The 12,544-nt window shown below is 41.6% G+C and overlaps 1 long non-coding RNA gene across 1 annotated transcript in view, besides 1 other annotated feature; it reads left to right on the forward strand.

Moving 5' to 3' along the window:
• Positions 1-12,544, forward strand: part of LOC105376360 (uncharacterized) — a 432,070-nt gene that overhangs the window by 44,789 nt on the left and 374,737 nt on the right. The window lies entirely within an intron of this gene.
• Positions 9,781-10,980: an enhancer, noted in NCBI's record as "BRD4-independent group 4 enhancer chr10:3415456-3416655 (GRCh37/hg19 assembly coordinates)". NCBI's record gives its function as "activates an origin of replication core promoter dependent on BRD2, P300/CBP, MED14 and CDK7 cofactors, and independent of BRD4, by STARR-seq in HCT116 cells {active_cell/tissue: HCT116}" and the evidence as "EXISTENCE:reporter gene assay evidence [ECO:0000049][PMID:35650434]".

Consider the following 12,544-nt stretch of genomic DNA (forward strand, 5'->3'; position numbering starts at 1 on the left):
AGGCCCTGGTCATGGATACACTCATCAGAGTTTGAGAAACACTCTCAGATTCAGCGGTACTGAAAACTTTGTGGTCTCGGGATCTCTCTACGCTCTGAAAAAATGTGGCTTTCCAGAGCTATTGCTATGTGCTTACATTTATCTCTATTTGCCAAATTTAAATTTTAAACTGTGAACATTTTAAGATATTTGTTTATTACTTTATTTACAAATAAGAACAATGACCCAACTACATGTTAATATAAATATTTTTATGAAAAGTCATTATAATCTCCAACAAAATTAGAGATAAGAATGGCATTATTTTACATTTTTGCAAATTGTTCATGTCTGGCTTAATGCAAGACAGCTGGGTCTTCTCTGCTTTCACATTCAATACACTGCACTAGTGTACATCACATAACCTCTGGAATACTCCACTGTACATTCAAGAGAGAATGAGAGTGAAGGCAGGAAAGTCTTGGAATAATACTATGAAGAGTCATGTGTTGTGACTATAATAGTATTTTGTAACAATAATCCTAAACAATGATTTGTTTAGCATTAAACAAGTAGTTTTGACCTAGCAGTCCTCCTGAACAAGGGCTCACTCCGCAGAACCTTTGCTCCTATCCAAGCCCCACCTTCATTAGCTGGGTGGTCTTTTTAAGCAAGTGATGGCATCTCTGCTTTTCCTTACTTGAGGCGGTAGACAAAACCCCAGATTCCACTTGTCCTGAGATTCACCTCTGTTCTAGGTACTTTTTTTTTTGAGATGGTGTTTACGCTCCTGTTGCTCAGGCTGGAGTGCAATGGCACAATCACGGCTTACTGCAACCTCCGCTTCCCGGGTTTAAGCGATTCTCCTGTCTCAGCCTCCTGAGTAGCTAGGATTACAGGCGCATGCCACCACGCCCGGCTAATTTTTGTATTTTTAGTAGAGGCGGGGTTTCATCATATTGGTCAGGCTGGTCTCAAACCCCTGACCTCAGGTGATCCGCCCACCTTGGCCTCCCAAAGTGCTGGGATTACAGGTGTGAACCACCGTGCCCAGTCTATGTGCTAGGTACTTTTATGAATCTATACTTTACTGTGGGAGAAGAAAGGAAAAACAGAGACCCAGCAAATAACATGCCCTTGTCCAACAAACAGAACGCCGGAATTCAAGTGGAGATCTTTGGAACTCCAGTCCTCCCTCCAGAGGTGAAAGTGTTATTTGTGAATTGTAAGTTGATCAAGTGCTGTAAACTAACTAAAGTTACAAACTAACTGAAGTGCTAGAAACTAAAATAAATACAATAATGAAGAACAAGCATCATTATTCATAGTGTCTTTAATATTTCCATAGGCTACTTGGTTTGAAAAAGCAGCCTCCTCTGTGAGCCACTGAGCAGGAGGAAAAGCCAGCCCTGGAAGGACTCTGCAGAGAACAGATCACAGTGTTTAATTTGCCAGAGGCATGCGAGCTTCTCAGAGTCCTACAGCCACAGGAGCTTTGCCTTCCCTTAAATGAGCCGTGGGGCTGCAACCTGGGTGTCGGAAAGGGCAAAGTGCAGTCGAACATTCACATTTGTCCTGGAAGGACAGTTGATGTTTTGATGTTAGGAACACTGGGGGAAGTGGGGTGTTGTTGGTTTGAAGTAAGATTATTCTGTGTGTTATAACAACGGCAACCCTGGAATTGACAGGGAGACCCAGTGCAGGAGAGAAGGCAACCAGGCAGGGTCTTTGCTGTTCAGGGAGGTTCTGAGCTGGAAGGACAACGGAATTAGGTGTAGCGGGAGAGCACGAGCTCGGCCCCCGCCTCCTTTCTGTCTTGGCCTTTCTGCCTTGGTCTCAGCGGTACCCATTAGTTCCTTTGCCAGTGCCCCTTTTGACTGAAGAGCCTGCCGCCTCTTTCACTTTCAGTAAGTCTCCTTTGCCTAAATGTGCTGATTAACTCACCCTGTCTTTTGGTATATTGGGCAGGTCTACCCAAAGGAAGGATTGAGATAAAGTTCTGGATATGTCAAGGTAAATGGGAAGTTCAGTGATCTTTTGTAAATTGTCAGGCCCTGTGCTGTGTTGTATGTTATAAAAACAAACAAACAAACTCAGAAGATTTCACTTCTGCGCCCACAGTATAATGTAATAATTAATATATGTTCCGGGCAACTAAAAATCAGGTTGATAGCTGCCGATAAATATGCAAACACGCGAGGTCAGCTGTGATTTTTGTCAGTTCCTTTTTGTGGTATTTTAACAACAATTTACCTTTTATCTGCACATATTGTCTATACCACAAGGTCCCCTGAAAAGTGGGGCAGGTGTTTGAGTCATAAAAGATAAATATATCCTGAAATGGCTATTGTTTCGAGTCTGTGAATCATTTCAAAGGACATTTGCCGTGCAAATAGATGATGTAACTCTATGTGTTTTCAATAGCACATCTGCAAGTTAAGTCGTGTGATTCCCTGGATGATATTAAGTCTGCAAATAGACTGCCACTCACAAACAATATTGTAAGTGAGATCGGTAGAGTCCCTGTTCTAGAACAAGGACATTGACCTGTGTTTTCAGCTAAAGCAATGTTCACTCCCTTAAGGGAACATACCTGATTTTATTTTGTTAAAACTTTTATTACTGCAAACTTCCTGCATGTAAAATGTACTAGTGAAAATTCTTTTGGTATACTAGCAGCCTGCATTGCCCAAAACCGATAAAAAATAGATTAAAAATTAAACATTTATGACCCAAGGAACTGCTGAATAGACTATGTTGGGAAGAACATCTGTAACCATAAAACTCAGACTCTTGAAATTTGAATTTGCCTGTTGTGCTTATTTAATTACTGTGCAGAGTTACTTGTTGGGTCCAGGTAGGGCAATGACTGGGCTGTAAAAAATATTATTCCCTCAAGGATTGTCTTGTGCAAATTCTAGAGGGGAAAATTATCTTTCCAATACCCAAGTGTGACTTCCATTACCATTAAATGGAGCCATGCGTACTGTGTGAGGGTATAATGGACCCCAGAGTAGAGAGATAAAACTGTAATGCCAACTCCCTATAGCACATCAGCAATATTATTTAACTTGAAGCTTTTTAACCTGTGAGAAAAGAGTAAACCTTGTTCTTAATTAAATGAATAAGGCAGCTTGTAGATACGTTCATTAACGCACATAGATTCACAGCTTGACGGTAAGCTTGGTCCCCTCTTTCCTGTCCTCATCCCATCCACCCGGATCACAAGCATCTCCAGTTAGAAACCCTGCCGGGTCATTTTTGTGTCCTCAACAGAGTCTAGCGTAGCAGGAAGCAGATTGTAAGATTTAGCAAGATACATGCTTATGAAAATGAGCAGTGGGAAAATAATTACTTGGTTTTTGTTTAATTCTATTTGTAGATTGGCTATTTCATTTCTGAGTAGCAAATTTAACATATTTAAGGTTAGAATCTACCAAGTTTGCTAACGTTCTTAATTAGAAAAAATGCAAGTCATCCATATATGAGTTTCCGAATAGTGGCGTTGAGTGGGTCTCTGGTCTCAGGAGGAAAAAGAAACGAAGATGATCTTACCAAAGAATAGAAACAGTGAGTCAGGAAGGCAGGTTTTAGTTCTAGTTCTCACACCAAATATTTATGTTATCTCAAATTCTCTTGATCATAATTTATTATTATAATAAATTATGTATTACAGATAATTATAAATGTACATTATTTATTTAATAAATAAATAATAATTTATTATTAGTTCTATTGGAGGAGACAATAAAACCCAATAATAATATTTATTGTATATTATGCATATATTATATATTTATATTATTTATTATATATTTATTATTATTGGGTTCTACTGTTATCGCCTCTCTCATTCCCTAGTACCCAATAATAATAATAATTATTATTGAGAGGAACATACTTATCTCAGGAGGTATCCTGAAGATGAAATAATAGGAGTGAAACTGTTTTCAAAAATTCAATGTAGACCACATATTTTTGTAAAGATTATTATTATTATTATTATTATTATTATTATTATTATTTTGAGACAGAGTCTCACCCTGTCACCCAGGCTGGAGTGCAGTGGCACCACCTTGGCTTACTGCAACCTCCACCTCCCGGGTTCAAGCAATTCTCCTGCCTCAGCCTCCCAAGTAGCTGGGGTTACAGGCACCTGCTACCACACCCGACTAATTTTTTGTATTTTTAGTAGAGATGGGTTTCGCTATGTTGGCCAGGCTGTTCTCAAACCCCGACCTCAGGTGATCCACCTGCCTCAGGCTACCAAAGTGCTGGAATTATAGGCGTGAGCCAAAGCGCCCAGCCGAAAAATCGTTATTTTTATAAAGAGTTACTGTTATATTGCTGATCGTATTACAGGAAATAAATCTGACATAGCAAATCTTATCCAGAGGTTGGAAGTGACAGTCAAATAGTTTTCCTAGATTTCTTTTCATAAACAAACAAATTTTGCAAATATTAGTTCACTAAATAATAACATGCCACATCAGCACAGCAATACAGGAAACAAAGCAAATCAATCTCTACTGCAAAGATAATGAAGACCATTGTGAAACGATACAGGGTAAGTTATAGGAGTCATATGGGAAGACATATCCAGAACATTATTAAATATCTTTACACGTATCATCTCACTCAACCATGAAAACAACACTGAATCACACAAGATGTCATTTGGAGTTACATTGTTGCATTCTCATTAACACAATAGTGACAAACTAATAATGTTATCTGGAAAGCTTCTTGATCAATCAGCCTTCCTAGTTGATAGGACTGGCTTATTTTTCTGTCTAGCTACACAAGTAAGAAGCGACTTTCCGAAAAGTTCTAAAAGTGCTGCAAGGTGGGAAAAATGTGGAATTGACTACAGGTAATTTGAATGTTGGCCTTATCAACCCTTTCCTTAAATCCGAAGAGGCAAGGGAAGCCTGGGGAAATGGCGGGGACAGCAGCTGTGGTCAGCTTGCTGGAGAGGAAAAGGATCTCTCAGGCCTGATGTCTTCTCCCTTCTGGTTATTAGATATAAGCACAGTGGAATGAATCCAACATGAGCTTGCTGGGAACTTTATTCTTAGTCCTTATTTATGGTTACAGTGGCACCTCCATGTGTTATTTGGGACTCTTTCCCCTTACGGCAATTAACCAGATCAACCAAGGAGTAAATCAGTGTGTCCTTTGACACCAGTGTGGTTCCTGGATTAGTCACATCAGCTTTCACGGGAGCTTGGCAACAATGCAGATCTTGGGCCTGTCCCATGAGAGCCTGGTAGAAATGCAGACCCTGGGTCCATTTCAGATCCACCAAATTGGAGTTTTTGAACAATTTCTCCAGGGGATTCTGATGCAACATCAAGTTTGAACGCTGTGTTTGAGGTAGTGGAATAATCTGGCCTCCTTCTCCCCACCGCCTCAGGAGGCATTTCGCAGTGCAGCGCCGTTTTTCCTTTAGTGTTCACAAAGAAGACAGTGAGAGTAGGGAGCGAGAGACAGGGCAACAATGGAACCCAAATGTCCTTGAATGGGTTTTGTTTCTTTTAGACCCGCGGTTCCCAAACCTGAACATGCATCGGAACCACTGGGAGGGCTCGTTAAGGCCCAGCTTCTGGGCCCCATCTCAGAGCTTCCAGAGGCGTAGGCCTGGGGGCATCGGGGGCCTTGAGAATTTGCAGTTCTCAGAAGTTCTCCTGCGATGCCTGCCCGGCCTCACATTCAGAACCACTGGCTTGTAGAAACAAACAGGAAACTCTCAACTCAGCTGTTTTAAACTCCAGGGATGGGGAACACATTTTAACCAATAGACACAATATATGCTAAATAATGCCCTGTAGCTTCACAGCCTTGCCAGGGTCGGGGAAGTGGCTGGAGGAGAGAGAAGCAGACATTTGGGAGGTTGGAAAAGGAAGTGAATAGAGCCAAGGAAGGGACGAAGACAAGGGTGCCTGGAGAGGCCGGGGAGGTGAGGAAGCCTCTCTAAGAGGAGAGAGGAAAAGCCAGGATGCAAACCAACAAAACCTCTGGAATGTTAGGGAAACACGAAACACGAGCTTTGGGATTAGCCGAGGTGCAAAGCCGGAAGCTTGTTCATGTGGAATCACCCATAGAGCCTCTGTCCCTTCTCACATCTCCTGCCTTTAGAAACGGTTGGCTCAGGCTGGGTGTGGTGTCTCACACCTGTAATCCCAGCACTTTGAGAGGCCAAGGTAGGTGGACCACCTGAGGTCAGCAGTTCAAGACCAGCCTGCCCAACATGGTGAAAGCCCGTCTCTACTAAAAATACAGAAAAATTAGCCAGGTTTGGTGGCGGGCGCCTGTAATCCCATCTACTCAGGAGGCTGAGGCAGGAGAATTGCTTGAACCCGGGAGGCGGAGGTTGCGGTGAGCTGAGATCACACCACTGCACTCCAGCCTGGGTGATGAGAGCAAAACTCTGTCTCAAAAAAAATAAAATAAATAAAAATAAAAAGAAGTGGTTGGCTCAATAGCCGTGATTCACAGATTGAATCTGCTGGCTGTTAAACCTTTGTGTTTTGTGAATACAATTATTGCTGAGCGCTTCATATTAAAAAGTAAAGTTTTTGACAGTCAGAGGGTCTATTCTTTAGTTTAATAAATAATATATGTTTTTAATTGCACTGTATTTTTCTGTTTTTTTCTGTAAACCCTCACAATAAAAGTGTTTTAATTTAGCCATTTACACTTTTAAAATATATCTGTATACATATGTAGAAAGATAGATTTGCTTTTTGTGAGGTTTCTAAATTTACACAGATTTTAATTCAACAGACCTGAATGACTATATTTTTAATAAAATTTATGTCTTTGAATATTGATATCTAATAAAGACTGATATTTAGTGTTTATTTTATTGGCCCTTTGAAGCACTTGTCTGAAAAGGGCTCATTACTGACCCTGTAAATTTCAACAGCTCTCTATGACTTCTTAGTTTATAGCATGTTTTAAATTAGTAGGCTTTATTGATACATAATTCTCATACCATACAATTTGCCCAATGAAAGTGTACAATGTAATGGTTTTTAATATATTCACAGATATGTGCAACCATCACCAATTAACTTTTAGAACATGAATATTCTCATTATCTAAGAAAGCCCGTGTCTGTTACCTGTCACCACCCTCCCCTCCACCCCCCCCGCCCCCACCCCGCCCCACTGCCAGTCCTCAGGAAGCACCAATCTCTTCTGTGTCTCTTAGATTTCCCTATTATGGACATTTCAAAGAAATGGAATCATATGACGTGGTCTTTTGTGATTGGCTTTTTTCATGTAGCATAATGTTTTTGTTTTTTAATAAACTTTTTACTTTAGTTTTAGATTCATAGAAAAGTTGGGGTGATAATACTAAGAGTTCCTCTACAACCTACGGTCAATTCCCTGATTATTAATATCTTCTATTAGTGAAGTACGTTTCTCACAATTGATTAGCCAATATTGTACATTGCTGTTGACTAAAGTCCATACTTTCTTCACATTTCTTTAGTGTTTATACAATGCCCTTTTTCTGTTTCAGGAGCCATCCAGGAGATCCTGATATACTCAGTTGTCTAATTTCCTTAGATTCCTCTTGGGCATAGCATTTTCTCACTTTCCATACTCTTTTAATTTATTTTTAATTGGCAAATAAAAATTCTATATATTTATGGCATGCAACATAGTATTCTGAAATATGTATACATTGTAAAACAGCTAGCTTGATCTAATTAACACCTGCATTACCTCATATACTTATTTTTTGTGTGTGGTGAGAACACTGAAAATCTACTCTCAGTGATTTTCAAGTATATGATACATTATTATTAACTACACTCACTATATTGTACAGCATTTTTAACAGATGGGCTTAAATCCATTACTATATTGTGTGCTGTAGTTGGAAAAATACACATGTGTGTTGTGACTAAATGAACAATATGGGGCTTCCTGCTCTTCCATCAGCCTCAGTGTCAAAGGCTGAGTCTACATGTCATCACCTGATGGGTTCTCTCTGTCCACTGCACAGACAAAACCAGTTCACTGAGACCGTGGGATTTCAGTAAAGAAAGTTTAACTAATGTGGGGCTGGCCACGTGGAAGACAGTTATTACTCAAATCAGTCTCCTCAAAGGCTTGAAGGTTGGGGCTTTTAAGGATAGTTTGGTGGGCAGGGGACCAGGGAATGGGTGCTGATGGTTGGCTGGGGATGCAATCACAGGAGTGTGGAGTGCAGTCCTCATGTTCTGAGTCCACCTCTTGGTGGGGTCCAGGGGACTGGTTGAGTCATCAGTCACAAGTCTGGGTGGGCTCAGTCAGTTGCTAGAATGCAAAAGTTTGGAACCAACCCAAATGTCCATCAATGATAGACTGGATAAAGAAAATGTGGCACATATATACCATGGAATACTATGCAGCCATAAAAAAGGATGAGTTCATGTCTTTTGCAGGGACATGGATGAATCTGGAACCATCATTCTCAGCAAACTAACATAGGAACAGAAAACCAAACCCCACATGTTCTCACTCACAAGTGGGAGTTGAACAGTGAGAACACATGGACACAGGGAGGGGAACATCACACACCAGGACCTATTGGGGGGGTGATGGGCTAGGGGAGAGAGAGCATTAGGAGAAATAACTAATGCAGGTGACAGGTTGATGGGTGCAGCAAACCACCATGGCACGTGTATACCTATGTAACATACCTGCATGTTCTGCACATATATCTCAGAATTTTAAAAAAAAGAAAAAAAAGTTTGAAAAACATCTCAAAAGACCAATCTTAGGTTCCACAATAGTCATGTTAGCTATAGGAGCAATTGAGGAAGTCACAAATCTTGTGCTCTCTGGCCACTTGGCTCCTGAGCAGTGAGAGATTATAGAAACTATTCTTATATTATAGCAGAATCCAGGCCCGTCACAAAATCCTAATCTTGTGCCCTTGCGTTAGTCTTACAGAGTCAGTTTCAGCCCCAAACAAGGAAGGAACCAGTTTATGGAGGAACTTATAATCATTCTTGCTTCACAGATAAACTATGAACTAAATTCCTCCCATGGTTAGCTTGGCCTATGCCCAGGAATGAGGGAAGACAGCCAGCCTGTGAGGCTAGAATCAAGATGGAGCTGGCCATGCCAGACATCTCTCACTGTCATCGTCTTGCAAAGGTGGCTTCATTTGTAACAAATCAGAATCACAAAAGGAACACATTTTCAAAAAAAAAAAAAAAAATGGAGCCCATAGGTCACTAAGAAGATTGTATAATTTAATGTAAACAAACACTTTACCATTTTTAAAATGCATAATTTTCAAAGCAAACTGCTTTCATCTTGGTTGGTGTAGTGTGTCTAGGGGTTGAGCCCCAGGCTGGATTCCCAGACAAGGCTCACTGCTTGTATTAGGAACACCTGCCATCTGGACAGTCACCCAGGTTCCTTCTCTGGCCTGCGGTTTGCATCAATCCGAGCGCCCTCCTGATGGCATGAGGGTAAACGATGCACACACAGTGTCTCTAGGGGTCCTCAGCAGTGGCACTGCTCCATCAGTATTAGTTAGTAATGAGGGCGACGGGGATGGCAGGGTTGACCTGTCGTTGGGGCTGCCACGTGCCTTTGGAAGTCCCATAGAACATGTCTGACTTTAGGTCTCATCACAACCCAGTGAGGGTGAAGGCTCCGCCAAGTGCAGAGCAGTGAAGGGTCACGAGAGATTAGAATTGGGAGATCTCAGCCCAGCCGTGGGCCCTGGTGCCTGGGACTGGGGATGACACTTGATAACAGCTGCCCTTTGGATGCAGATCTGGGTGTGGGGGTTTAGCTCCTGAGCCTTGCGTTAGAAGCTCAACTCTGAAATTCACATGGCCTATGACCTTGGGAAGTTCCGTGTGTCCTGGGTTTAGCTCCTGAGCCTTGCGTTAGAAGCTCAACTCTGAAATTCACATGGCCTATGACCTTGGGAACTTCCGTGTGTCCTGGGTTTAGCTCCTGAGCCTTGCGTTAGAACCTCAACTCTGAAATTCACATGGCCTATGACCTTGGGAACTTCCGTGTGTCCTGGGTTTAGCTCCTGAGCCTTGCGTTAGAAGCTCAACTCTGAAATTCACACGGCCTATGACCTTGGGAAGTTCCGTGTGTCCTGGGTTTAGCTCCTGAGCCTTGCGTTAGAACCTCAACTCTGAAATTCACATGGCCTATGACCTTGGGAAGTTCCGTGTGTCCTGGGTTTAGCTCCTGAGCCTTGCGTTAGAACCTCAACTCTGAAATTCACATGGCCTATGACCTTGGGAAGTTCCGTGTGTCCTGGGTTTAGCTCCTGAGCCTTGCGTTAGAACCTCAACTCTGTAATTCACGTGGCCTATGACCTTGGGAAGTTCCATGTGTCCTCAGCTTCTTCCTCTCACAAATGACTATTGCATTAAATAATCTCATGATCCCTTGCAGCTGTAAGATATGTAGTCTTTTCAAAACACGATTCAGTCAAATGATGATAACAACAGAGTTCATAGCTTTTTAACTTTTCATAGCTATAAATTGAAGCATGTCATGGAAGAAAAAAGGACTCTATTAACTAAACAGGAATCCAGATAAAAGTTGTTTACAGTGTCTTTTTTTAGAAGCAATATAAGCTAGAATTTTAAAAGTAATACAATTCTCTTTTGTATTTTTTTTCTGTGAAATAGATGGCAAATGTAAATAAAAGTCTTCTGTATATTTTAAAACTAAATGGAAAAATCTTCATAAAAAAGAATACCTACTCTCAGGCTGCAATCTCTTTATGCCAACTTTGTTCCCAGCTGGTTCAGTTTTGCTTTATAGCTGGTCATTTCTTAGAGGTCTGTAATGGAAATGCTGAAAGCACTATAAATGTTGCGGTACTAGTGGGTACTGCTGAAATAATGGAGACTTTAGTCACCACCTGGGTGGGGATAGAGGGAGAAGGCTCTCCTAGCATTCGAAGATATGGAAAATTCCTGGAGGAGAAACAAGCATTCGGGGGATATTAGCGGAGTATTTCACCAGTGCCTTTTAACCAGAACAGCAGTTTCCATGAAAACAAGAGGTTTGTTGCGTGTGATGAATGGAGAGTGACTCGAAACAGGTACAGTCTGTTGTAGCAATTATTCCATAATGCATTACTCTATACTTATTAAGGCTACTAAGATAACAGTACTTTGTTATTTAGTATGGATTTTCCTAATTGCAAAACACCGTATGATTTATTATACAGTCTATGATTAGACCAGGCTGAACCAATCAACACCCCCTTAATTACTAGTTGCTGTTATCCATGCACTCTACCAATATTTGAATTCAGAAAGTTGTTAAGTTATCTCAGCCAGCAGCCAACATTACACATATTCTTCATAAATGCAAAAGGCTCATTTCATCAAAAGAGGAAGCCATTATGCCAAGAAAAATGGAACGCAGTTTATACAGGGGCAGATAAATTACTCCGTGTTAAAGAGAAAATCATTCAAGGTGTTGATCATATCCCGTTCTTGAGTAGAAGAGGGGAAAAACTGTGAAACCAGCATAAGCTACCAGTAGATAATATTTCATAAAATTAGCATGGCTGTCTTTTACTGAAGATGTCATTATTCAAGTGAATACCAATGTCTTCCACTGGATAAAACCAGAATTTTAACACAGAGGGATTCATGGTAACTAATAAGTCATATACAATTGGTCATAGGCATGCAGGCAGTTCTTTATATTGTATCCTCACCAGATAGGAGCAATTTCAGCCTTAGGACTTTTAAACTACGTTCCCTTGTGAGGCAAATTATTTCCTTAATGAGGCCAAAAACAGGGATCAAACTAAAGGCTTTGGCTGCTGCCAAATAACACTGGACTTGCACTCAGCAGAACCCAGTGGGTGCTGGAGTGAGAGGGCAGAAGCTGGGCATGCACCTGCTCAGGCAGGACAGAGGCGTGAGATCTTCTGAGAAGCCCAGTAAGAGAGAAGGGCATTCAAGGGCCGGCAGAGAGGTCTGTGCAGCAGAGCCTGATCAGGAGGGACGTGGAGGAAAAGAACTGCTTATATGTAGGATAAATATCATTCTTTTTATATCTCAAACTTTTACCCCGAGACTAGGAAATAGTTTCCTGCTTGGTACAAACTTTCCCCACCTGCATGCATGATGATGAGAAGTCATCCCTAAAAACTTCAGATGACAAACGGGGACCGCTACTGTAGGTCACTGCTGACCTCACTCACTGCTCCCCTGCCTGGGCATCCACACACAGCTGTGTAGAGGCTCTGGCTCCTGGAGGACACCTCCCAGCGGAAGCACAGACCTGCCTGTCCTGCCGCTGTTCTCTCTCTCCTCTCTCTCTTTCTCTGACTCCTTCTCTCTTAGTCCCTCCCTCTCTCTCCTTCTCTCTGCCTCTCTTTCTCTAGTCCTTTAGGAATTTGCCCCTGGACCCTCCAGGCTGGTTCATATTCTGGTGTTTAGCCACCAACACTGCCCCTATTACCACCCTACTTGATAAGCTCTGTGCTGTCTCCTTCCCTGTGATTTTCCTTAACAAACTGTATTAGGAACACCTCGCAGGAACTCAGGTCCTCACAGCTG

Source organism: Homo sapiens, chromosome 10 (genome assembly GCF_000001405.40).
Source record: "Homo sapiens chromosome 10, GRCh38.p14 Primary Assembly".
In the NCBI taxonomy this organism is placed as follows: Eukaryota; Metazoa; Chordata; class Mammalia; order Primates; family Hominidae; genus Homo; species Homo sapiens.